Source organism: Homo sapiens, chromosome 2, assembly GCF_000001405.40.
Source record: "Homo sapiens chromosome 2, GRCh38.p14 Primary Assembly".
Classification (NCBI taxonomy): domain Eukaryota; kingdom Metazoa; phylum Chordata; class Mammalia; order Primates; family Hominidae; genus Homo; species Homo sapiens.
In genome coordinates this window covers 95,806,983-95,831,399 of record NC_000002.12, presented here as the reverse complement: position 1 = coordinate 95,831,399, position 24,417 = coordinate 95,806,983, and the positions used below count along the sequence as shown (strand labels likewise).

Sequence of the window (24,417 nt, the reverse complement as noted above, 5' to 3'; positions counted from 1 at the left end):
GACCCACTTAAAGAGGCAGTCTGGCCACATTTTGGTAGAGCAGCTGTGCTGCGTGGGGGATCCCTTCTGCCCTCAGTTGGTTTGGGTTCTCAAAAGCCCAACAGGCTGGAATAGCTAAGTTACCCAAGCAACAAAGATGGTGGCCTGCCCTGTCCCCTAGGAAGTCAGTCTCAGGTAGGTAAAACACTGTTGCTGGTGGCTGGCTGGAGTTGTTTCCTTGATTATATGAGTAATGCGAGTACCTGGTTGTTTCAGTTGAAGGTACTGTATTGACTTGCTCCTTTCATTCCTCTCCATGAGAGCCGTGCACCCTACCTGCTTCTAGTCAGTCATCTTGGCCACACACCCCCATAATCACATTTTTTAAGTAAATCATTCTTTAAAACTCTAACAAAATATTTAAACATTTAAAAAGTGTGGAGCTTTAGAAATGCCTGATTACGTCTTAAGTTTGAGACACGTAGCAGTTATGTACATTGGCAATTCCAGATTTTGCAACTTATAAGGAAAGGACTTATATCTTATTCAGTCTTTGTGTGTCTAAACTATCTTCACCTGTAAAATGAGTATAATGAAGTACTTTATAGAGTTGTACATGTTATATGTAAAAATATAGCAGTGAGGGGGCAGTGGACTGGCCAAGATGGCCGAGTTGAAGCAGCTAGTGTGTTTGGCTCTCACAGAGAGGAACACAAGGGGAGAGTCAATACTGCACCTTCAACTGAAACATCCAGGTACTCACATTGGGACTAACCAAGGAAACAACTTGACCCAGGGAGAATGAAGAAAAGAAAGGCAAAATGACAGCCCACCTGGGAGTACCACAGAGCCAGTGGAACCTCCCTCACCCAGGGAAGCAGTGAGTGAATGTGTGACCCTGGAAACCCATGCTTTTTCCATGGATCTTTGCAATCCTTGGGTTGGGAGATCTTCTCATGAACCCACTTTACCAGGGCCTTCAGTCTGATGGAGCTATGTGGAATCTTGGCACAGCAGCCACTCAGGCACACATGGAGACCTGGGAGCCTTAGGTACCTGGGCTTTCCTGCAGAAGTAGCTGCAACTCTGGCAAAGTGGGAGGTTAGACCCTCATACATATTCCTAGGGAAGAGGCTGAATTCAGGGAGCTGAGCAGCAACAGCCTGCAGGCTCCACTTCCACAGAACCTCACAGGATAAGAGCCACTGGCTTGGAATTCTAGCCAGCCACCAGCAACACTGTTGAGACTCCCTGAGATGAAGCTCCTGAGAGAAGGAGCAGGCCACCATCTTTGCTGTTTGGGCAATTTAGCTGCTCCAGCCTTTGGGATTTGGAGAGTCTCAGCAGACCAGGGACAGAGGGATCCATTAGCACAGCACAGTGCTACTCTACCAAAATATGGCCGGACTACTGCTTTAAGAAGGTCCCCAATCCCATTCCTCCTCACTGGGCAGGACCTCCCAACCAGGGCCTGTAGCTACCCATTCTGGTATTCTCAGGCTGACAGAGATTTGAATTCTCCCTGAGATGGAGTGCCCCGAGGGAGGGGTGGGCTGCCATATTTGATGTTTTGGCAACTTAGCCATTCCAACCTTTGGGCTTTAAGGAGTCCCAGCTGACTTAGGGTGGATATAGCCCACCAGCACAGCACAGCTGCTGTACAAAAGCATAGCCAGACTGCTTCTTTAAGCAGGTCCCGGATTCATTCCTCCTCACTGTTTGGGACTTCCCAACTGGGGCCTCCAGCCACCCCCACTGGTGTTCTCCTGCTGACAGTGATTTCAGTTTTTTCTTGGCTGGAGCTCCCTGATGGAGGGGCAGGCCATCATGTTTGCTGTTTTTGCAACTTAACCACTTCAACCTTCAGTCTTTGGAGTGTCCAAGGAGACCAGGGGCTGATGTGGACCCTCAGCATAGCACAGATGCTCTATAAAAATGTGGTCAGACTGCTTTTTAAGCACTTTCCCAATGTCATTCCGCCTCACTGGGCAAAACCCCCTAACTGGGGTCTCCAGCTACCTCCTACAGGTGTGTTTGGGCCAGCAACAAGTTCATTCATACCTCCCTAGGGCAAAGCTTCCAAAGGGAGCAGTAGGCTGCCAACTTTTCTGTTTCACAGCCTTCACTGATGATAACTCCAGGTACTGGAAAATCTGAGGCTACTAGAGACTGAAGTGGGCCCTGGGCATACTGCAGCAGCCCTATGGAAAAGTGGCCAGACTGTTACCTGGGTTCCCATTCCTGTATCTTCTCACTAGGCAAGTCTTGCAGGCCTGGGCCTCTACCTAACCCCCCTGCCAGAGCTGTCGAGCCAGTAGCAACTCAGCCACTCCCTGGACAGAGCCTCCAGGGGCAACTGAAAGCCTCTCTGCCACTGCTTCTGCAGTGGAACTGTCCTTGCTACCCTCAGACTGATGAAGGAGCTAACACCCTTATCTACACCTTCAACAAGCTTTAATTGACCAAAGCCCATCTCCCACGGGTTTTACACACTCCCCACTGCTCATAACAGACAGGGAACCCCTGGATTGGCCCCCACAGCATGAATTCTCCATCCTGCTTGCTGATTGCAATAAACAGTTGCTGACCTGTATTCTCCGGGGGTAGAACCCTGAGGAGACAAACAAAAGACCCTTGGCTACAACCACTACTAATGTCCCTTCCTCTTCTTCCCCAAAGTTAGGGAAGAAATATAAACACTGAGATTGCCCCAGAGCTGCAGTGGGCAGCCTAGGAGTGCCAAGCCATGATCTACAGCCAGCACTCAAGGAGGAGAGAAGCACATTTTCAGATCATTGAGAGTGAACATGGCTGCAACTGTGAGGAAACATAGGGGAGCCACATGACCAAGCAAGACTCTACCAACTGACCAGTAAGCCCAAGTGCCACCTACTGGATCACATCCCAAAGCTTCAGCACCAAAAATACCTTACTAATATACTCCCCTCTGAAACCAGAAATGAGAAGTCAGCTTCAAATAAAGAACCTGCACAAAGCCTCAGCCTGGTGAAAACATCTGAAAATAAGTCTACGGACTGTACTCAATCTACACTGCAATTAAAGGAAAACCCATAGGTGGAAATGAGAAGAAACCAATGCAAGAACTCCAGTAACTCAAATGGCCTCTGTGTCATATGTCCTTCAAACAACCACACCAGTTCTCCAACAAGAGTTCTTAACCTGGATGAACTGTCTGGAATTACATAAATATAATTGAGAATATGGATAGGAAAAAAAATCATCAAGACTCAGGACAATGGCAGAACCCAATCCAAGGAAAATAAGAATAACAATAAAGTGTTATAGGAGCTGAAGGACAAAGTAGCTGGTATAATAAAAAAAGAAACTAACTGATCTGAAAGCGCCAAATAACACAATACAAGAATTTCACAATGCAATCACAAGTATTAACAGCAGAAAAAACCAATCTGAGGAATGAATCTCAGAACTTGAAGATTGGTTCTCTAAAATAAGATGGACAAAAATAAAAAAGAATGAACAAAACCTTCAAGGAGCATGGGATTATATAAAGAAGCCAATTCTACAAATCACTGGCATCTCTGAAAGGGAGGTGGAGAAATCAAATAACTTGGAAAACATTTCAGGATATCATCTATGAAAGCTTCCCTAACCTTGCTGGAAAGGCCAACAGTCAAATTCAGGAAATACAAAGAACTCCTACAAGATTCTACACAAGACCATCCTCAAGACACATAAACATCAGGTTTTCCAAGGTCAAAATGAGGGAAAGAATGTTAAAGGCAGCCAGAGAGAAAGGGGCAGGCCATCTACAAAGGGAACCCCATGAGGCTAACAGCAGATCTCTCAGCTGAAATCCTACAAGCCAGAAGGGATTGGGGGACTATATTTAACATTATTAAAGAAAATCTTCAACCAAGAATTTCATATCCAGCTAAACTAAGCTTCCTAAATGAAGGAGAAATGAGATCATTTACAGACAAGCAAATTCTGAGGTAATTCATTACCACCACATCTGCCTTACAAGAGATTTTAGAAAGGAGGACTAAATATAGAAAGGAAAGACCACTACACACTAATACAAAAACATACTTAAACACACAGACCAGTGACACTATAAAGCAACCACACAAACAAGCCAACATAATAACCAGCCAACAGCACAATGACAAGATCAAATCTACACAAATCAATACTAACCTTGAAAGTAAATGGACAAATGCCCCACTTAAAAGGCAGAGTGGCAAGCTAGATTAAAAAAAAAAAAAAGCGAGACCCAATGGTATGTCGTCTTCAAGAGACCCATCTCACACATAATGACACTCATCGTCTCAAACTAAAAGGATGGAGGAAAATCTACCAGACAAATAGAAAACAGAAAAAAAGCAGAGGTTGCAATCCTAATTTCAGACAAAACAGATTTCAAATGAACAATAATTTTTCAAAAAGACAAGGGGGCAGGGGCAAGATAGCCAACTAGAAGCAGCTGCAATTCGAGGCTCCCACTGAGAAGAACTAAAACAGTGTGCAAATCCTGCACCAGCAACTGACATATCCAGGTTCTATGATCAGGACTGACTAGGTAGTTGGCATGGCCCATAGAGAACAAGGAAAGATGGGCTGGTGGATTGGCCCACCTGGGAGCCACATGGGGCAAGGGGAGCCCTCACCCTCAGCCAGCCAAGGGAGGCAGTGAGTGAGCATGCTACCCAGCCTGGGAAACTGCTTTTTCCATGGATCTTTGCAATCCACAGATCAGAAGATCCCACTCATGAGACCACACCACCAGGGCCTTGGGTGCCAACTACAGAGCCATGCAGATTCTCAACAGCCACTCAGCTGGAGTCTGCCTAAAAAGTTGGGGAGGGTTGTCATCATCACTGTGGCTGCCTGCTGCCTAAACCCTCTGAGTTCCCTGGGGGAGGGGGAGCAGTCATCACTGTGGTTGCTGGCTGCCTAAGACAACTGAGCTTCCCAAGAGAGGGGCAGTCATCATCACTGCAGCTGCCTGCTGCCTGAGGAAACTGAGCTCCCCAAGAAGGGACAGCAGCCATCACTGTGGCTGCTAGCTGCCTAAGACACTGAACTCCTGGGGAGGAAGGGCGGCAGCCATTTCTACAGAGCCAGGCTGCTGTTTTTCCTTTGCTGATGCCAGGGAGACTGGACGGCTTGGTCCCAAGAGGTATTCCCCACAGCGCAGCATACTGGCTGTGGCAGATCATGGCCAGACTGCCTCTTTAGGCTGACCCTCACCCATCCCTCCTCACTGGGTGGGGCATCCCTGCAGGAACTCCAGCAACTCAAGCCAGGGAATTAGGGAGAGAACTCTGATCTCTCTAAGTCTGAGTCCCTAGCAGGAGGGGTGGCTGGCTGTTGTCTCCACAAACCAGAAGACTTATTCTTTCCCCCTGCTCACTCTGAGGAATCCAGGCATCCCAGACGAGTGGGATTTCCCCCAGCACAGCATACCCCCTTCACAAAGGGACAACTAAAGTGCTTCATTAAGCAAGTCCTGGATCCTGTGCCCCCCAACTGGGTGAGACACCCCAATGGGTCACCAGACACCTTATACAAGAGCATTTCTACTGGCATCAGGTGGGTGCCCCTCAAGGACAGAGATCCCAGAGGAAGGAGTGGGGTCTCATCTTTGCTGTTCTCCAGCACTCTCTGGTGACATCTTCAGGTGTGGGAGGGACCCAGATAAGTAGGGCTTGAAGTGAATCCCCAGCAAACTGCAGCAGCCCTACAGAAGAGGTGCCTGACTGTTCAAAGGAAAACAGAAAGCAACAACAACATCAACCAAAAAGTCCCCACGAAAACCTCATCTAAAGGTCAGCAGCCTCAAAGATCAAAATGAGACAAACTCATGAAGATGAGAAAGGAATGAAAAACCCCTCACAACTCAAAAGGCCAGAGTGGCTTGTTTACTCCAAATGATCACAACACCTCTACAGCAAGGGCACAGTGCTGGGAGGAGGTTGAGATGGATGAATTGACAGAAGTAGGCTTCAGAAGGTGGGTAGTAGCAAACTTCACTGAGCTAAAGGAGCACGTTCTAACCCAACACATTGGAACGAATCCCAGAACTTAAAGATTGGTTCTCTAAAATAAGACAGACAAAAATAAAAAAGAATAAAACGGAAGGAACAAAACCTCCAATAAGTATGGGGTTATGTATAGAGGCCAATTCTACAAATCACTGGCATCCCTGAAAGGGAGGTGGAGAAATCAATGCATTGGGTTAGAACATGCTCCTTTAGCTCTGTGAAATTTGTTATTACCCACCTTCTGAACCCTACTTCTGTCAGCAAAGAAGCTAAGAACCATGTTAAAAGGTTACAGAAGATGCTAACTAGAATAACCAGTTTAGAGAGGAACATAAATGACCGGAGCCAACTATAAAGCACATAAGGGGAACTTCGTGATGCAAACACAAGTATCAACAGCTGAATTGATCAAGCAGAAAAAAGAATATCAGAGCTTGAAGACTATCTTGCCAAAATAAGGCAGGCAGACAAGATTAGAGAAAAAAGAATGAAAAGGAATGAACAAAACCTCAAAGAACTGTGGAACTATGTAAAAGACCAAACCTATGACTGCTTGGACTACCTGAAAGAGACAAGGAGAATGGAGCCACGTTGGGAAAACACACTTCAAGATATCATCCAGGAGAACTTCCCCAACCTAGCAAGACAGGCCAACATTCAAATTCAGGAAATCCAGAGAACCCCAGTAAGATACTCCACAAGAAAATCAACCCTCAAGACACATAGTCATCAGATTCTCCAAGATCAAAATGAAGGAAAAAATGTTAAAGGCAGCCAGAGACAAGGGCAGGTCACCTACAAGGGGAAGCCCGTCAGACTAACCGTGGGCCTCTCAGCAGAAACCCTACAAGCCAGAAGACAGTTGGGTCCAATGGTCAACATTCTTAGAGAAAAGAATTTCTAACCTAGAATTTCATATCTGGCCAAACTAACCTTCATAAGTGAAGGAGAAATCCTTCTCAGACAAGCAAATGCTGAGGGAATTTATCACCACCAGGCCTGCCTTGCAAGACCTCCTGAAGGAAGCACTAAAGATGGAAAGGAATCAGAATGATGCTGGCCTCATAAAATGAGTTAGGGAGGATTTCCTCTTTTTCTATTGATTGGAATAGTTTCAGAAGGAATGGTACCAGTTCCTCCTTGTACCTCTGGTAGAATTCGGCTGTGAATCCATCTGGTCCTGGACTCTTTTTGGTTGGTAAACTATTGATTATTGCCACAATTTCAGCTCCTGTTATTGGTCTATTCAGAGATTCAACTTCTTCCTGGTTTAGTCTTGGGAGAGTGTATGTGTCGAGGAATTTATCCATTTCTTCTAGATTTTCTAGTTTAATTGTGTAGAGGTGTTTGTAGTATTCTCTGATGGTAGTTTGTATTTCTGTGGGATCGGTGGTGATATCCCCTTTATCATTTTTTACTGTGTCTATTTGATTCTTCTCTCTTTTTTTCTTTATTAGTCTTGCTAGTGGTCTATCAATTTTGTTGATCCTTTCAAAAAACCAGCTCCTGGATTCATTAATTTTTTGAAGGGTTTTTTGTGTCTCTATTTCCTTCAGTTCTGCTCTGATTTTAGTTATTTCTTGCCTTCTGCTAGCTTTTGAATGTGTTCGCTCTTGCTTTTCTAGTTCTTTTAATTGTGATGTTAGGGTGTCAATTTTGGATCTTTCCTGCTTTCTCTTGTGGGCATTTAGTGCTAAAAATTTCCCTCTACACACTGCTTTGAATGCATCCCAGAGATTCTGGTATGTTGTGTCTTTGTTCTCGTTGGTTTCAAAGAACATCTTTATTTCTGCCTTCATTTCGTTATGTATCCTGAATGACTATTCAGGAGCAGGTTGTTCAGTTTCCATGTAGCCAGCATCATTCTGATACCAAAGCTGGGCAGAGACACAACCAAAAAAGAGAATTTTAGACCAATATCCTTGATGAACATTGATGCAAAAATCCTCAATAAAATACTGGCAAAACGAATCCAGCAGCACATCAAAAAGCTTATCCACCATGATCAAGTGGGCTTCATCCTTGGGATGCAAGGCTGGTTCAATATACGCAAATCAATAAATGTAATCCAGCATATAAACAGAGCCAAAGACAAAAACCACATGATTATCTCAATAGATGCAGAAAAAGCCTTTGACAAAATTCAACAACCCTTCATGCTAAAAACTCTCAATAAATTAGGTATTGATGGGACGTATTTCAAAATAATAAGAGCTATCTATGACAAACCCACAGCCAATATCATACTGAATGGGAAAAAACTGGAAGCATTCCCTTTGAAAACTGGCACAAGACAGGGATGCCCTCTCTCACCACTCCTATTCAACAGTGTTGGAAGTTCTGGCCAGGGCAATTAGGCAGGAGAAGGAAATAAAGGGTATTCAATTAGGAAAAGAGGAAGTCAAATTGTCCCTGTTTGCAGATGACATGATTGTATATCTAGAAAACCCCATTGTCTCAGCCCAAAATCTCCTTAAGCTGATAAGCAACTTCAGCAAAGTCTCAGGATACAAAATCAATGTACAAAAATCACAAGCATTCTTATACACCAACAGACAAACAGAGAGCCAAATCATGAGTGAACTCCCATTCACAATTGCTTCAAATAGAATAAAATACCTAGGAATCCAACTTACCAGGGATGTGAAGGACCTCTTCAAGGAGAACTACAAACCACTGCTCAAGGAAATAAAAGAGGATACAAACAAATGGAAGAATATTCCATGCTCATGGGTAGGAAGAATCAATATCGTGAAAATGGCCATACTGCCCAAGGTAATTTACAGATTCAATGCCATCCCCATCAAGCTACCAATGACTTTCTTCACAGAATTGGAAAAAACTACTTTAAAGTTCATATGGAACCAAAAAAGAGCCCACATCGCCAAGGCAATCCTAAGCCAAAAGAACAAAGCTGGAGGCATCACACTACCTGACTTCAAACTATACTACAAGGCTACAGTAACCAAAACAGCATGGTACCGGTACCAAAACAGAGATATAGATCAATGGAACAGAACAGAGCCCCAGAAATAACGCTGCATATCTACAACTATCTGATCTTTGACAAACCTGAGAAAAAAAAGCAATGGGGAAAGGATTCCCTATTTAATAAATGGTGCTGGGAAAACTGGCTAGCCATATGTAGAAAGCTGAAACTGGATCCCTTCCTTACACCTTATACAAAAATCAATTCAAGATGGATTAAAGACTTAAACGTTAGACCTAAAACCATAAAAACCCTAGAAGAAAACCTAGGCATTACCATTCAGGACATAGGCATGGGCAATGACTTCATGTCCAAAACACCAAAAGCAATGGCAACAAAAGACAAAATTGACAAATGGGATCTAAGTAAACTAAAGAGCTTCTGCACAGCAAAAGAAACTACCATCAGAGTGAACAGGCAACTTACAAAATGGGAGAAAATTTTCGCAACCTACTCATCTGACAAAAGGCTAATATCCAGAATCTACAATGAACTCAAACAAATTTACAAGAAAAAAACAAACAACCCCATCAAAAAGTGGGCGAAGGACATGAACAGACACTTCTCAAAAGAAGACATTTATGCAGCCAAAAAACACATGAAAAAATGCTCATCATCACTGGCCATCAGAGAAATGCAAATCAAAACCACAATGAGATACCATCTCAAACCAGTTAGAATGGCAATCATTAAAAAGTCAGGAAACAACAGGTGCTGGAGAGGATGTGGAGAAATAGGAACACTTTTACACTGTTGGTGGGACTGTAAACTAGTTCAACCCTTGTGGAAGTCAGTGTGGTGATTCCTCAGGGATCTAGAACTAGAAATACCATTTGACCCAGCCATCCCATTACTGGGTATATACCCAAAGGACTATAAATCATGCTGCTATAAAGACACATGCACACGTATGTTTATTGCGGCATTATTCACAATAGCAAAGACTTGGAACCAACCCAAATGTCCAACAATGATAGACTGGATTAAGAAAATGTGGCACATATACACCATGGAATACTATGCAGCCATAAAAAATGATGAGTTCATGTCCTTTGTAGGGACATGGATGAAATTGGAAATCATCATTCTCAGTAAACTATCGTAAGAACAAAAAACCAAACACCACATATTCTCACTCATAGGTGGGAACTGAACAATGAGATCACATGGACACAGGAAGGGGAATATCACACTCTGGGGACTGTGGTGGGGTGGGGGTAGGGGGGAGGTATAGCATTGGGAGATATACCTAATGGTAGATGACGAGTTAGTGGGTGCAGCACACCAGCATGGCACATGTATACATATGTAACTAACCTGCACAATGTGCACATGTACCCTAAAACTTAAAGTATAATAAAAAAAAAAGATGGAAAGGAAAAACTGGTACCAGCCACTGCAAAAATGTACTGAAGTACAAAGACCAATGACACTATGAAGAAACTGCAGCAACTAGTGAGCAAAATAACCAGCTAGCATCATGGTGACAGGATCAAATCCACGCATAACAATATTAACCTTAAGTGTCAATGGGCTAAATGTACCAATTAAAAGACACAGACCAGCAATTTGGATATAAAGAGTCAAGATTCAGGTGTGCTGTATTCAGGGTTCCTATCTCATGTGGAAAGACACACGTAGGCTCAAAGGGATGGAGGAAAATTTACCAAGCAAATGGAAAGCAGAAATAAGCAGGGGTTGCAATCCTAGTTTCTGACAAAACAGACTTTGAATCAACAAAGATAAAAAAAAGACAAAGAATAGCATCACACAATGATAAAGGAATCAATTCAACAAGAAGAGCTAACTATCCTAAATATGTATGCACCCAATACAGGAGAACCCAGATTCATAAAACAAGTCTTTAGAGACCTACAAAGAGACTCAGGCTCCCATACAACAATAGTCGGAGACATTAACACCCCATTGTAAATATTGGATCATCTAGACAGAAAATTAACAAGAAAGGACTGGAACACAGCTCTGGATCAAGTGAATCTCATAGATATCTACAGAACTCTCCAACACAAAACAACAGACTATATATTATTCTCAGTGGCATATGACACTCTAAAGTTGATCACAAAATTAGAATTAAAACACTCCTCAGCAAATGCAAAATAACTGAAATCATAACAATCTCTCAGACCACAGTGCAATCAAATTAGAACTCAAGATTAAGAAACTCACTCAAAACCACACAACTACATGGAAATTGAACAACCTGCTCCTGAGTGACTTCTGGGTAAATAATAAAATTAAGGCAGAAATCAAGAAGTTCTTTGAAACCAATGAGAACAAAGAGACAATGTACCAGAATCTCTGGGAGGCAACTAAAGCAGTGTTAAGAGGTAAATTTATAGCACTAAATGCCCGCATCATAAAGCTAGAAATATCTCAAATCAATACCCTAACATCACAACTAAAAGAACTAGAGAAGCAAGAGCAAACAAATCCAAAAGCTAGCAGAAGAGAAAAAAAAAATGACTAAGATCAAAGTGGAACTGAAGGAGACAGAGACATGAAAAACCCTTCAAAAAAAAAAAAACAAGAAATAAAACGTGTTCAAATAGCAAGAGATAAAATCAAATTGTCTCTGTTTGCAGAAAACGTGATTCTATATCTAGAAAACCACATTGTCACAGCCCAAAAACTCCTTAAGCTGATAAGCAAGTTCAGCAAAGTCTGAGGATACAAAATCAATGTGCAAAAATCACAAGCATTCTTATACACCAGCAATAGACAATATTCTTCAATTCCTATACACCAATAATAGACAAGAGAGCCAAATCATGAATGAACTCCCATTCACAATTGTTACAAAGAGAATAAAATACCTAGGAATACAGCTAATGATGGGTGTGAAGAACCTCTTCAAGGAGAACTACAAGCCACTGCTCAAAGAAATAAGAGAGGACACAAACAAATGGAAAAATATTCCATGCTCATGGGTGGGAAGAATCAGTCTCATGAAAATGGCCATACTGCCCAAAGTAATTTATAGATTCAGTGCTATTCACATCAAACTACCATTGACATTCTTCACAGAATTAAAAAAAAAACTACTTTAAATTTCATATGCAACCAAAAAAGAGACTCAATAGTCAAGACAATCCTAAGCAAAAAGAACAAAGCTGGAGGCATCATGCTATATGACTTCAAACTATACTGCAAGGCCACACTAATCAAAACAGCATGGTACTGATACCAAAACAGACACACAGACCAATGGAACAGAATAGAGATCTCAGAAATAAGACCACACATCTACAACCATCTGATCTTTGACAAACCTGACAAAAACAAGCAATAGGGGAAGGAATACCTATTTATTCATTTATTTATTTTGAGACAAAGTCTCACTCTGTCACCAGGCTGGAGTGCAGTGGCATGATCTCAGTTCATTGCAACCTCTGCCTCCCGGATTCAAGTGATTCTCCTGCCTCAGTCTCCCGAGTAGCTGGGACTACAGGTTCGAGCCACCACGCCCAGCTAGTTTTTGTATTTTTAGTAGAGACGGGATTTCACCATGTTGGCCAGGATGGTCTTGATCTCTTGACCTCAAGATCCACCCATATCAGCCTCCCAAAGTGCTGAGATTATAGATGTGAGCCACCGCACTTGGCCAGGATTCCCTATTTAAATGGTGCTGGGAAAACTGACTAGCCATATGCAGAAAACTGAAACTGGACCTCATCCTTACACCTTATGCAAAAATTAACTCAAGATGGATTAAAAACTTAAATGTAAAACCCCAAACCGTAAAAAACCCTAGAAGAAAATCTAGGAAGTTCCATTCAGGACATAGGCATAGGCAAAGATTTTATGATGAAATCATCAATAGCAATTGCAACAAAAGCAAAAATTGACAAATGGGATCTAATTAAACGTAAGCACTTCTGCACAGGGAAAGAAACTATCATCAGAGTGAACAAGCAACCTATAGAATGGGAGAATATTTTTGCCATCTACCAATCTGACAAAGGTCTAATATCCAGAATCTACAAGGAACTTAAACAAATTTACAAGAAAATAATAACCCCATCAAAATGTGGGCAAAGGCCATGAACAGACATTCTGAAAAGAAGACATTTATGCGTCCAACAAACATATGAAAAAAAAAAAGCTCAACATCAGTGTTTATTAGAGAAATGCAAATCAAAACCACAATGAGATACCATCTCATGCCAGTCAGAATGGCAATTATTAAAAAGTCAAGAAACAACAGATGCTAGAGAGGCTATGGAGAAACAGGAACACTTTTATACTGTTGGGAACGTAAACTAGTTCAACCATTGTGGAAGACAGTGTGGCAATTCCTGAAGGATCTAGAAGCAGAAATACCATTTGACCCAGCAATCCCATTACTAGGTTTATATCCAAAGAAATCTAAATCATTCTATTTTAAAGATACATGCACACTTATGTTTATTGCAGCACTATTCACAATAGCAAAGACATGGCATCAACCCAAATTTCTATCAATGATAGATTGGATAAAGAAAATGTGATACATATGCACCATGGAATACTATGCAGCCATAAAAAGGAATGAGATCCTGTCTTTTGCAGGGACATGGATGAAGCTGGAAGCCATAAACTTCAGCCAATTAACACAGGAACAGGAAACCAAACACCACATGTTCTCATAAGTGGGAACTGAACAATGAGAACACATGGACACGGAGGGGCAGAACACACACCGGAGCCTGTTGGGAAGGTAGGGGGAAGGAGAGCATCAAGATAAATAGCTAATGCATGTGGGGCTTAATACCTAGGTGATAGGTTGATAGGTGCAGCAAACCACCATGGCACATGTTTAACTATGTAACAAACCTGCACATCCTGTACATGTATCCTGGAACTTAAAATAAAATAGAAAAGACAAAGAAGGATATTACATAATGGCAAAGGCTTCAATTCAACAAGAAGACCTAACTATCCTAAATATATATTCATCCAACACAGGAGCACCCAGATTCATAAGTAAAGTTCTTAGAGACCTACAAAGTATGTTTCACAGTAATAGTGGGAGACTTTCACACTCCAATGACAGTATTAGATCATTGAGGCAAAAAAATGAACAAAGATATTCAGGACCTGAACTCAACATTGGATCAAATGGATCTGATAGACCTTTACAGAACTCTGCACTCAAAAACAACAGAATATGCATTCCTCACATCATCATATGCCACATACTCTAAAATCAACCACATAATTGGACATAAAGCAATCCTCAGCAAATGCAAAACAACTGAACTCATACCAAATACACACTGAGATCACAGTGCAGTAAAAATAGAAGACTAAGAAAATTGCTGAAAATCATGCAATTACATGGAAATCAATCAACATGCTCCTGAATGACTTTTTAATAAATAATGAAATTAAGGCAGAAAACAAGAAGTTCTTTGAAAATAATGAGAACAAAGTTGCAACATACTAGAGCCTCTGGACATAGCTAAGGCAATGTTAGGAGGGAAATTTATAGCACTAAATCCCACATCAAAAAGTTAGGAAGAACTCAAATTAATAACCTAACATCACAACGGAAAGAACTAGAGAAGCAAGACAAAACCCCAAAGCTAGAGGAAGACAAGAAATAACTGAAAATCCGAGCTGAATTCAAAGAAACCGAGACATGAAGAAAAAAAAATTCAAAAGATCTACGAATTCAGGGTAGGTTTCTTGAAAATATTAATAAGAAAGTCTGCTAGCAGACTAATACAGAGGATGATTGAAATAAACACAATTAGAAATGACAAAGGGAATGTAATTACCACTGACCCCACAGAAATAGAAACAACCATCAGAAACTACTGCAAACACTTCTGTGCATACAAACTAGAAAACTTCAAAGAGATGGATAAATTCCTGGACAAATACACCCTCCCACAACTGAGCCAGGAAGAAATTGATTTGCTGAACAGACCAATAACAAGCTCCGAAATTGAATCAGTAATAAATAACCTACCAATCAAAAAAAGCCCAGAACATGATGGATTCCCAGCCATATTCTACTAGAAGTACAAAGAAGAGCTGGTACCATTTTTACAGGAACTATTTGAAAATATTGAGGAGGAGGAACTCCTCCCCAACTCATTCTATGAGGCCAACATCATCTTGATACCAAAATCTGGCACACACACACACACACACACACACACACACACACACACACAAACTTCAGGCCAATACCCTTGATGAACATCAATGCAAAAATCCTCAACAAAATACGGGCAAACCAAATCCAGCAGCACATCAAAAAGTTAATCCATCATGATCAAGTATGCTTCATCCCCAGGATGCAAGGTTGCCTCAACATACACGTCAATTAATCTGATTCATCCCATAAACAAAACTAAAGATAAAAACCATGTGATTATCTCAATATATGCAGAAAAGGCTTTCAATAAAATTCAAGGCCTCTCCATATTAAAAACTCTAAAAAATCTGGGTATTGAGGAAACATAGCTCAAAGTGATGAGCTGTTTTTGTACCAGTATCATGCTGTTTTGGTTACTGTAGCCCTGTAGTATAGTTTGAAGTTGGGTAACATGATGCCTCCAGCTTTGTTCTTTTTGCTGAGGATTGCTTGGCTATTAGGGCTCTTTTTTTTTTTGGTTCCATATGAATTTTGAAATAGTTTGCTCTAGTTCTGTGAGGAATGCCATTGGTAATTTAATAGGGATAACTTGCATCTGTAAATTACTTTGGGCAGTATAGCCATTTTAATGATGTTAATTCTTCCTATCCATGAGCATGAAATGTTTTTCCATTTGTTTGTGTCTTCTCTGATTTCTTTGAGCAGTGTTTTGTAATTCTCCTAGAGATCTCTTAGAGATCTTTCACCTCCCTGGTTAGCTGTATTCCTAGGTATTTTATTTTTTCTGTGTGTAGCAATTATGAATGGGATTATGTTCTTCATTTGACTCTCTGCTTTACTGCTAGGAATTTTTGCACATTGATTTTGTATGCTAAGACTTTGCTAAAGTTTATCAGCAGAAGGAGCTTTGGGGCTAAGACTATGGGGTTTTCTAGATATAGAATCATGTCATCTGTAAACAGAGACAGTTTGACTTCCTGTCTATTCCTCTCTTCCCTCCTCTATTTGGATGCCCTTCCAGTTTTGCACATTCAGTGTAATGTTGGCTGTGGGTTTGCCATGGCTAGCTCTCATCATTTTGGCACTTCCGACTAGAAGTGCGAGAGGGGCCAGTGTTGTTGTTACCTGAAAGGTAAGTGCAGCCCACAAAAATGCAGTGAAGAAGAAGATATATGCATATGTTTAAGTTAATACAATTGAGATACATTTAGCAGACAGAATCAATAGAGTTGATGAGTGACTGACTGGATGTGTGGGGAGTTTATATCACTCCCAGGTTTTTGACTTGGGCAACCGGGCACTCAAGAAGGAAAAAGAGGATCCAGGGAGAGGAACTTTTCTGAGGACTGGGGTAGGGCTGAACAGCTGCATTCGAGACTGGTGGAGGGTGGGCTGGGCATGGGATGCACAAATGGAAATTCCACTGGGTCTGCAGCTCACACATAGGCATGACCAGCATAGAGATAGAGAGGCCCCAGTGCTGCTGAGTAACTGTGATTCCCCAGGTGATGGCATCAGCTGAGAAGGGAAGGAAGCCCATGTGAGGACACTGAAGAAGGAGTGAGCAGACAATAAGAAGCCCACAGAAGACAGAGAAGGAACAACTAGAGGGAGAAGCCAAGGCAGGCATGTGTGATAACATATAGGAACTGAGGGAGAGGACATTTCAAGATGGAGGGGATGCCATACAACAGGACTATGTGATGGTTTTTGGCTGTGTCCATAGGAAGTCACAACAGGCAAGGGAAAGAAACCAGAACCCAGTCATGGAGTTAAGAAGTGAGTCAGAGAGGAGATGGGTAGGGACAGTGAGGTAAGGCCTCTTTCTAAGGAAGTTTGGCTGAAGGATAGACTAGCTGGACACATGCTGGCTGTGTGGGGTAGAGGGAGGAATGATGGAGGGTAGGAGAGCCTTGAGCCTGCGAGAAGAGTCTCCTAGAATAGAGAAGCTGAGGTTAAAGTTGTGGAAGACAGTGGGGATAACTGAGTGACAGATAATCAGGAGAAGAAAAGGAGATCCAGAATCATGACAGAGAGATGACCTTTGCCAAGAGCACAGCCATCTTTCACTGTCACAGAGAGGTAGGACAAAACGATTGGTGTTCAAGAATTGGTTTGTAGCACAATATTTTAACTATGTCCTTTAAAAAGTTTCTCCACAGACACTACCCAAAGCAGTCCTTCACTACAGTGGCAGACAGACCTGAAAATTTTCATCTGAAGCAGCAGAGTGAACTGCAGAGTCAGGTAATTTCTAGAAGGCTTGCTTTGTTCCATTGATACTGAAGATTATTCATGAGGCCAGTCTTCTGAGATTTCTGTCATTTCTCTCATGCCAGGTCACCAACCAGTGTGGAGGCTAAAAGCGGGCCTCTTTGGGGATTCCAGGTGGAAGTGTTGGACATCTGTAGTATTCCTGGTCTCAAATCATCCTGATATTCTTCATTTTGTTATTCACATTGGACTAGGGCAAGGAAATGAGTTCTGGTCAGAGTCAATGTTTCCCAACAATGTTGATTTATTTGGTCCTAAATATTTAAACACATTTTATAAATAGCTTTTCCACACCACATATATAGGGAAAAACAGGGAATTAACTTGGCCCAGCAGCACTGTTTGTGGGGCTAACACCCTGTGTATCTCACACCAACCCTAAGCTTTGTTTCCCTCCTGTCACTTTGCTCCTATTTCTTTCATATGAAAGAATGTTCATTTTCTTTGAAAATGAGCTCATTTCCTCATTTTCTTTCCATCTTTCAGCAGGAACAAAGATCACCACAACTGGCTCCCCTTCAACTATGTTAGATGGCAACTTGCCTTCAGTATGGTGAAACACATCAGTTAAGACTGGGGTTGTGCATGGCAGGACTTTCTACAAGGACACCCAGTCTCCTTAATAAACATGAGATGCTCTCTTTCCAGAAGTTCTCTTGCCTGACACAGCATAGGAAGATGCTGAACGGCCACACAGTGACCCATTGGTCAGTGGTGATGTAAGGAGGTCGGAGGGGAGGAGTGAGGAGAAGTAGGGAAGACTAGGTGGTTGTAGGCCTCCTTCATCTGTTCATTGGCTGTGGCATTAGGCCAGCTACTCTTTGCACTTCTGTAAAGTGAGACGGTCGATCTTGTCTGCCTCTCTAGAGGATGGCTGCAGGTGTCAAATGGGGTAGTTAGGTGGGAGGGCATTTCACAAAGTTAAAAAATATGACTTTGGAGGCTTGTTATATTGATGAGGATTATAATCCCTGAGAATTCCTGGTATGAAAAAGGGAAAAGAAGATAATTTGTGAAAGAAATAAGTGTCCAGTTACTAGTCTTTGAAAAGGGTCAGTCTGTAGCTCTTCTTAATGAGAATAGGCAGCTTTCAGTTGCTCAGGGTCAGATTTCCTTAGTGGTGTATCTAATCACAGGAAAGATTGTGGTTCCCTCCAGTCTCTTTCTGGGGGAATTGAGCCCACTTCTCATTTCATTTAATTAGATGAAATAGAACTCAAAGTACAATTTACTGTTGTTTAACAATGCCACAAAGACATGGTTGGGAGCTATTTTTTGATTTGTGTAAAATGCTGTTTTTGTGTGCTCATAATGGTTCCAAAAATTGGGTGCTGGCTAAAGAGAGATACTGTTACAGAAGCCAGCAAGAAGACCTCTGTTCATTCACACCCCCGGGGGTATCAGGAATTGACTCCAGTGTGTGCAAATCCAGTTTGCCTATCTTCTCAAGTTAGGGTTGATCGGATAATTATGGAGAAGTACACATTGAAAACTAGAACTAAGCCAAGCAATTAAATACGTTTCCTGCCTATTACATGCCTTGGTACTGTGCACAAGAGCTCACTGGGCATCTGAGGGAAGATCACTAACACACACCTCAAATGACTGTGTCTGATTTCCTAGGAGGACTCAGAAAGGGAGTGATCACTGTGGATTGGACTGGATAGTGCCTCATGCTGGAGGTGGGCTTTGAATGGAGCCTTGAAGGTCGAGAAAAAGTGATATAAACACTGGCTCCTTCCTTTTAAAGGGACACCACACTGTTTGGGCTTAGTGGTTATAGATGCCTTTAGCACAGCCCAGGAGCAAGCATTTATTGTCTACCTATCACGTGCTTGGCTTTGGAAATGCAAATAAAAAAGGAGGTCACTATTTTATGAAAGGATGATTTTATTCTACCTGATGTAGCCAGCTGCAAGCTTCAGAAGGCAGCACATACAATAATGATGGGCTGGTGAGATGAGAGCTAATGGAGAGATGTACAAAGTGCCATGGGATCACCAAGCAGTGGTCAGGTGAAGGCATCTGATTTTCTTTAAGATCTTGCTCAAATGTCATCTCCTCTAGAAGAAAATGTAGGGCTTCATCAGTCAGACAACATGGGGAAATTGATCTCAGTTCAAGAAACATGTACATGTATTGATTATCTAATACATTCAAGCAGTTGTGCACTGGGGATAGAAAAATATCATCATCATCATCATCATCAACAACAACAATCTTGCTGTATGCCAGGCACATAATTTTACATGTATTATCTCATTTAATCTCAAACAACTCTATGCTATAGGTGTTTATTATTATCCCTATTTAGATGAAACATTTAACCTTCAGAGAATTTAAATAAGTTGCACTTGCAAGCTTAGCAGGTGAGGAATCAAATTTGGAATAGGACCTAGATCAGTGATCCCCTAGATCTACAATCTTAACCAGTACCCTGTTCTCTCTGCTTAGAGAGCACCTAGAGAAAATCTGTAAGCAAATAATCACAAAACAAGGGATGACACAATATATGTAAATGTAGGATTTTACATTAAGTGGAAGAAGGAAGGTCATTATTTACTTTTTCTGGGTGAGAGATGAAAACACTTCTGCAAGAGTATTTCCAATTTCACCAAAGTATGGAAAGATGTTTATCCTAATAACAATACTCAGTAAATGGTATTTGATTTAACTTCAGCCTAGTACATGATTTGATTCTAAAACAGAACATTTCCTTAGAATTTCGATATCTGGAATTCTGTAGCTCAATGGTTTTGGTGGAAAATTGACTATTAATATTTTATATACTTTTAATAGTTTTGGGGCTAAATGAATCAAATCTATTCATAACTCTAAGTTTTCAAATTCTGACATCTTTTAGAGTTGTTTAGTTAAAACTAGCTCTTTTCTTCCAGTTCGTTAGCTTACCAAATGAGCCAAAATAAAAAACAAAAATTTATTTTCAGTCCGATATAGAAAGTTATTTATAGTTACATGGTGCTATCTCTTCCTTTAAAAACATTTCTTCTTTCTTTTTTTCTCCCTTTCTCTTTTTGAGGGGATTATAAACACTGCCAGTATTTTTTGCCTAAAGGGTAAATCCTCTTAAACTCTTTTGGGATCTATATTAGGTGCCAGATGGTCATAAGAAAATTATGTGAGATACTGGTGAATAAACAAGCAAACCAGAAGCTAGGTTTTCAGAATAGATGCTAGCCAGTAGTTCACAGGCATTATCCAGCAACTGGTGGGGATCTACTTGGCCAGCCCGTGACCACTGAGATGTGAACTTCCCTGGACCTTGGCAGTCAAGAGGGAGAGAGGCAGAGAAAGCTCCATTATCATCACTAATTCCCTTTTGACCACACGTGACAGCATGACCTGCTTCAAAGAAATAAGATAAATGGTGGTTAGGTGCCCCCACAGGCCCACAGTAGCCCATTCAACAAAGAGCAAAAGTAAAACTATTCCTGATGGATTTAGCAACATCATAGTTCACTTGTGAGGCAACAGGCTTTTATTGCTTGCTTTGGGACTGGCTTCTTCTCACTTTCTGTGGGAAAGTGAGCCTACCTGACTTAGAAACAAAATTTTGGAACACAAACCCTTTGTAAGTTGGGAGATCCCTAAACTAAAATTTCAAGTGAGATGAAAAGCCCCTTGAGAAAGAAATTTCTGGCTGGGCATGGTGGCTGATACCTCTAATTCCAGCACGTTGGAAGGTTGAGGCAGGAAGATCACTTGAGGCCAGGAGTTTGAGACCAGCCTAAGCAACATAGGGAAACCCCTGTGATATAGTTTGGATCTGTGTCCCCACCCAAATCTCATGTTGAACTGTAATCCCCAGTGTGGTAGGTGGGGTCTGGAGGGAGGTGACTGGATTAGGAGGGTGGATTTCTCATGAATGGTTTAGTACTATCTCCTTGGTACTCCTCATGATAGCAGGTGAGCTCTCGCAAGATCTGGTTGTTTAAAAGTGTGTGGTATCTCCCCCCTCACTCTCTTGTTCCTGCTTTCACTATGTGACATGCCTGCTCCCCCTTCACAATCTGCCAATAAATTGTGGCAGGTTATGAGTGTGTGTAATTTATGAGTGCTGATAGGATGAAAGATAGAAAATGATTTTAGATAGAAAGAAAATAATTCTGGAAGCTTTGAGTCTTCCTCTTGTAATCTATGTTGGTTCTTTTTTAATATACCCTGTTTCAGCACTTACTGACTTGGAGTCTCTCTCACAATGACTAAATGTAATATGAGATTCTAGGATGTATACTAGAACAGAAAATGGAAACTAAATAAAAACTGAGGAATTCTGAAAAAGTATGGTCTTTAGATAATAATAAGATAACAATATTGATGCCTTAATTGTAATGAATGCACCACACTAATATAAAATTTTAGTAATAGAGAAAGCAGAGTTTGGGTACTTACCAGGAATATTATACTATTTTCACAATGTTTCTGTAAACCTTAAAGTGTTCAAAAATTAAAATTTTATTTAAGTCAGTTGCAATATATAAGATTAATTGAACCAAAATTGTGGAAAATATAACTTCTGTTATAATGTTCCTTGGAAGCTTCTAAAGACAAGGCCTTTCTTTTCTATTTTTAGTAAAAATTACACGTATTTTCAAGTCAAACTGTTAATATGTGACAATATTTGCAGTACTGAAAGCTTAATAACTTATAGATTCATGGTAATGAAAAGCAAAGCATAGTGTTTTTGGTTTTGGAATACTGTATGAAATATGTAATCTTTTTTTTTTTAAAGATGGATTCTCACTCATTTGCCCAGGCTGGAGTGCAGTGGGATGGTCTCAGCTCACTGCAACTTCTGCCTTCTGAGTTCAAGCAATTCTTCTGCCTCAGCCTCCCCAGTAGCTGGGACTACAGGCATGTGCCACCATACCTGGCTAATTTTTTTTTTTTTTTTTTGTATTTTGAGTAGAGATGGGGTTTCACCATTTTGGCCAGGCTGGTCTCGAATTCCTGACCTCAGGTGATCTGCCCACTTTGGCCTCCAAAAGTGCTGGGATTACAGGCATGAGCCACCATGCCTGGCCAAAACATGTAATCTCTTATTCAAGGTTTATAATAACAGTTATGTGATACTCAGTAAGGGACGGTGATCTATATAAAATAAAAGGCCAGGCACAGTGGCTTATGCCTGTAATCTCAGCATTTTGGGAGGCCAAGACACGAGGACTGCTTGAGTTCAAAACCAGCTTTGTCAGCATAGTGAGACCTCATCTCTACAAAAAAATCAAAAACATTAGCTGGGGGTGGTGTCACACACTGGTAGTCCCAGATATTTGGGAGGATGAGGTAGGAGGATCCTACCTGAGCCTGGAAGACAAAGGCCACTGCACTTCAGCCTCGGTGACAAAGTAGGATCCTATCTCAAAATAGATAGATAGATAAATAGATAGATCAATGTTATTTATCTCAATATTTGAAAGAAAAGTTGAAAAACCTCTGAGCTCAACTAAGAATCAGTTTCTAGAATAAAGAGAAGTATAAATCATTATACCTCTTTACTTTAAAAATATTACAGACATTATAAGTATTTTAATAACAAAAAAATCAAATACTTTATATATACTTTGTAATCTGTCCTTTACAAAATCATTTAACCTTTATGACAGGAGCTACTATGGTGCTCATTCCACAGATGAGGTGCTGAGGTTTAGTGAACTGAATAGCTTGTTCACAGACAGTTGGAGACAGAGACTCAGTTTGCCCATACAAAGATAATTTTAACCAATAGCATTTTACAATAGAATATCATAATACCTATGAATTCTAAAAACATTTTATTCAAATCTCTCTTTTAATATTAGCACCTCTTCAACCTCTTCTTGACTCTACCACCAAATTTATCTTCCTAATTTCTCTTACCCTGTAAATTTCTGTGTGTGTGTGTGTGTGTGTGTGTGTGTGTGTGTGTGAGAGAGAGAGAGAGAGATAGAGACAGGGAAAGAGTGAGTTTACCAAAAAAATAAGATAGGAAGGTTGTCGTAACATCTTCCATTTCTCAATTCTGAAGTCCCCATTTTCATCCCTGGGAGAGTTGTTCTAGGATAGGGTAGCTAAAGGAACAGAGAAAATCAGAGTAATGGAATTAGCTAAAAGGGAAAGTGGTGACCTGAAGACCAAACACTAAAGAAGGGGCCAGTGAATGGCAAAGAAAGTGCAGAGCAAAAAACATGCAGGTAGATGGGGTCCTAGTTAGTGAAGGCCCACAGGCTGGAGGGTAAACCCATGCAAGGGTCAAGTTTAATACAGTGAAAATATAAGATGGGAGACCTACCACAGAGAACCAACACTTGGCATGTTTCTGATGACAGTGTTTAGATTGCAGTGGTTCTAAAAATTAAGTGATTTTGGAATTGGCATTCCATGTCATTTTAAAAGATAAATGATAAAGTAAATGTTTTATTCAGATCTCTCTCTCCCTCCCCACCCACCTTTTTCCCTCCATTCTTCTGTTTTTAATGGGGACGTTTAAAATCCAATCTCACATTAATTTTTTCTTAAGTGTAAATAATGGGAAAACTTCACTTCGAGAGGGGGCTCCTCAGTAGACCTCCATAATTTCCTGGCTTTTACTGCCAGTTAGTCATCAGGAATAGCCATGGCTAAGAGAGTACCAACTGGGCAAGCCAGTGAATTATACCAGTGCATCTCAGATTTATTGATTTGTTTAACTTTTGTTTTTTGTTCTTTTTTTTTTTTCAGAGATAGAATCTCACTATGTTGACCAGGCTGGTCTTGAACTCTTGGCACCCAAGCGATCCTTTTGCCTGGAATCCCAAAGTGTCAGATTTACTGAAGAATATTTCATTGTAATTACTTTTTATACTTTATAGGTCAAGAGCTCTGTTTTAAAGACAAAATTTATTGAATATACTTTTTCAAACAAAGTTTCATGTTCTAATCATTGTCTGATTTCAGCATTAAATGAAACACAGTAAAGAAAGTTGGGCTGATGTTGTTGGTGGTTGTTTTTGTATTCTGATTACAGAACTGTATTTTGAGTGGGCTGAACATAGAGCAAA

The 24,417-nt window shown here is 41.0% G+C and overlaps 1 long non-coding RNA gene across 1 annotated transcript; it reads left to right on the top strand.

The window, feature by feature from the left end:
* The first annotated feature begins 4,418 nt into the window (after positions 1–4,418).
* LINC00342 (long intergenic non-protein coding RNA 342) lies at positions 4,419–24,348 on the top strand. Its single transcript, NR_103734.1, has 3 exons — positions 4,419–7,199; positions 17,255–17,350; positions 24,098–24,348. It is a non-coding gene; the product is annotated as a long intergenic non-protein coding RNA 342 (long non-coding RNA).
* The last annotated feature ends 69 nt before the right edge of the window (positions 24,349–24,417 follow it).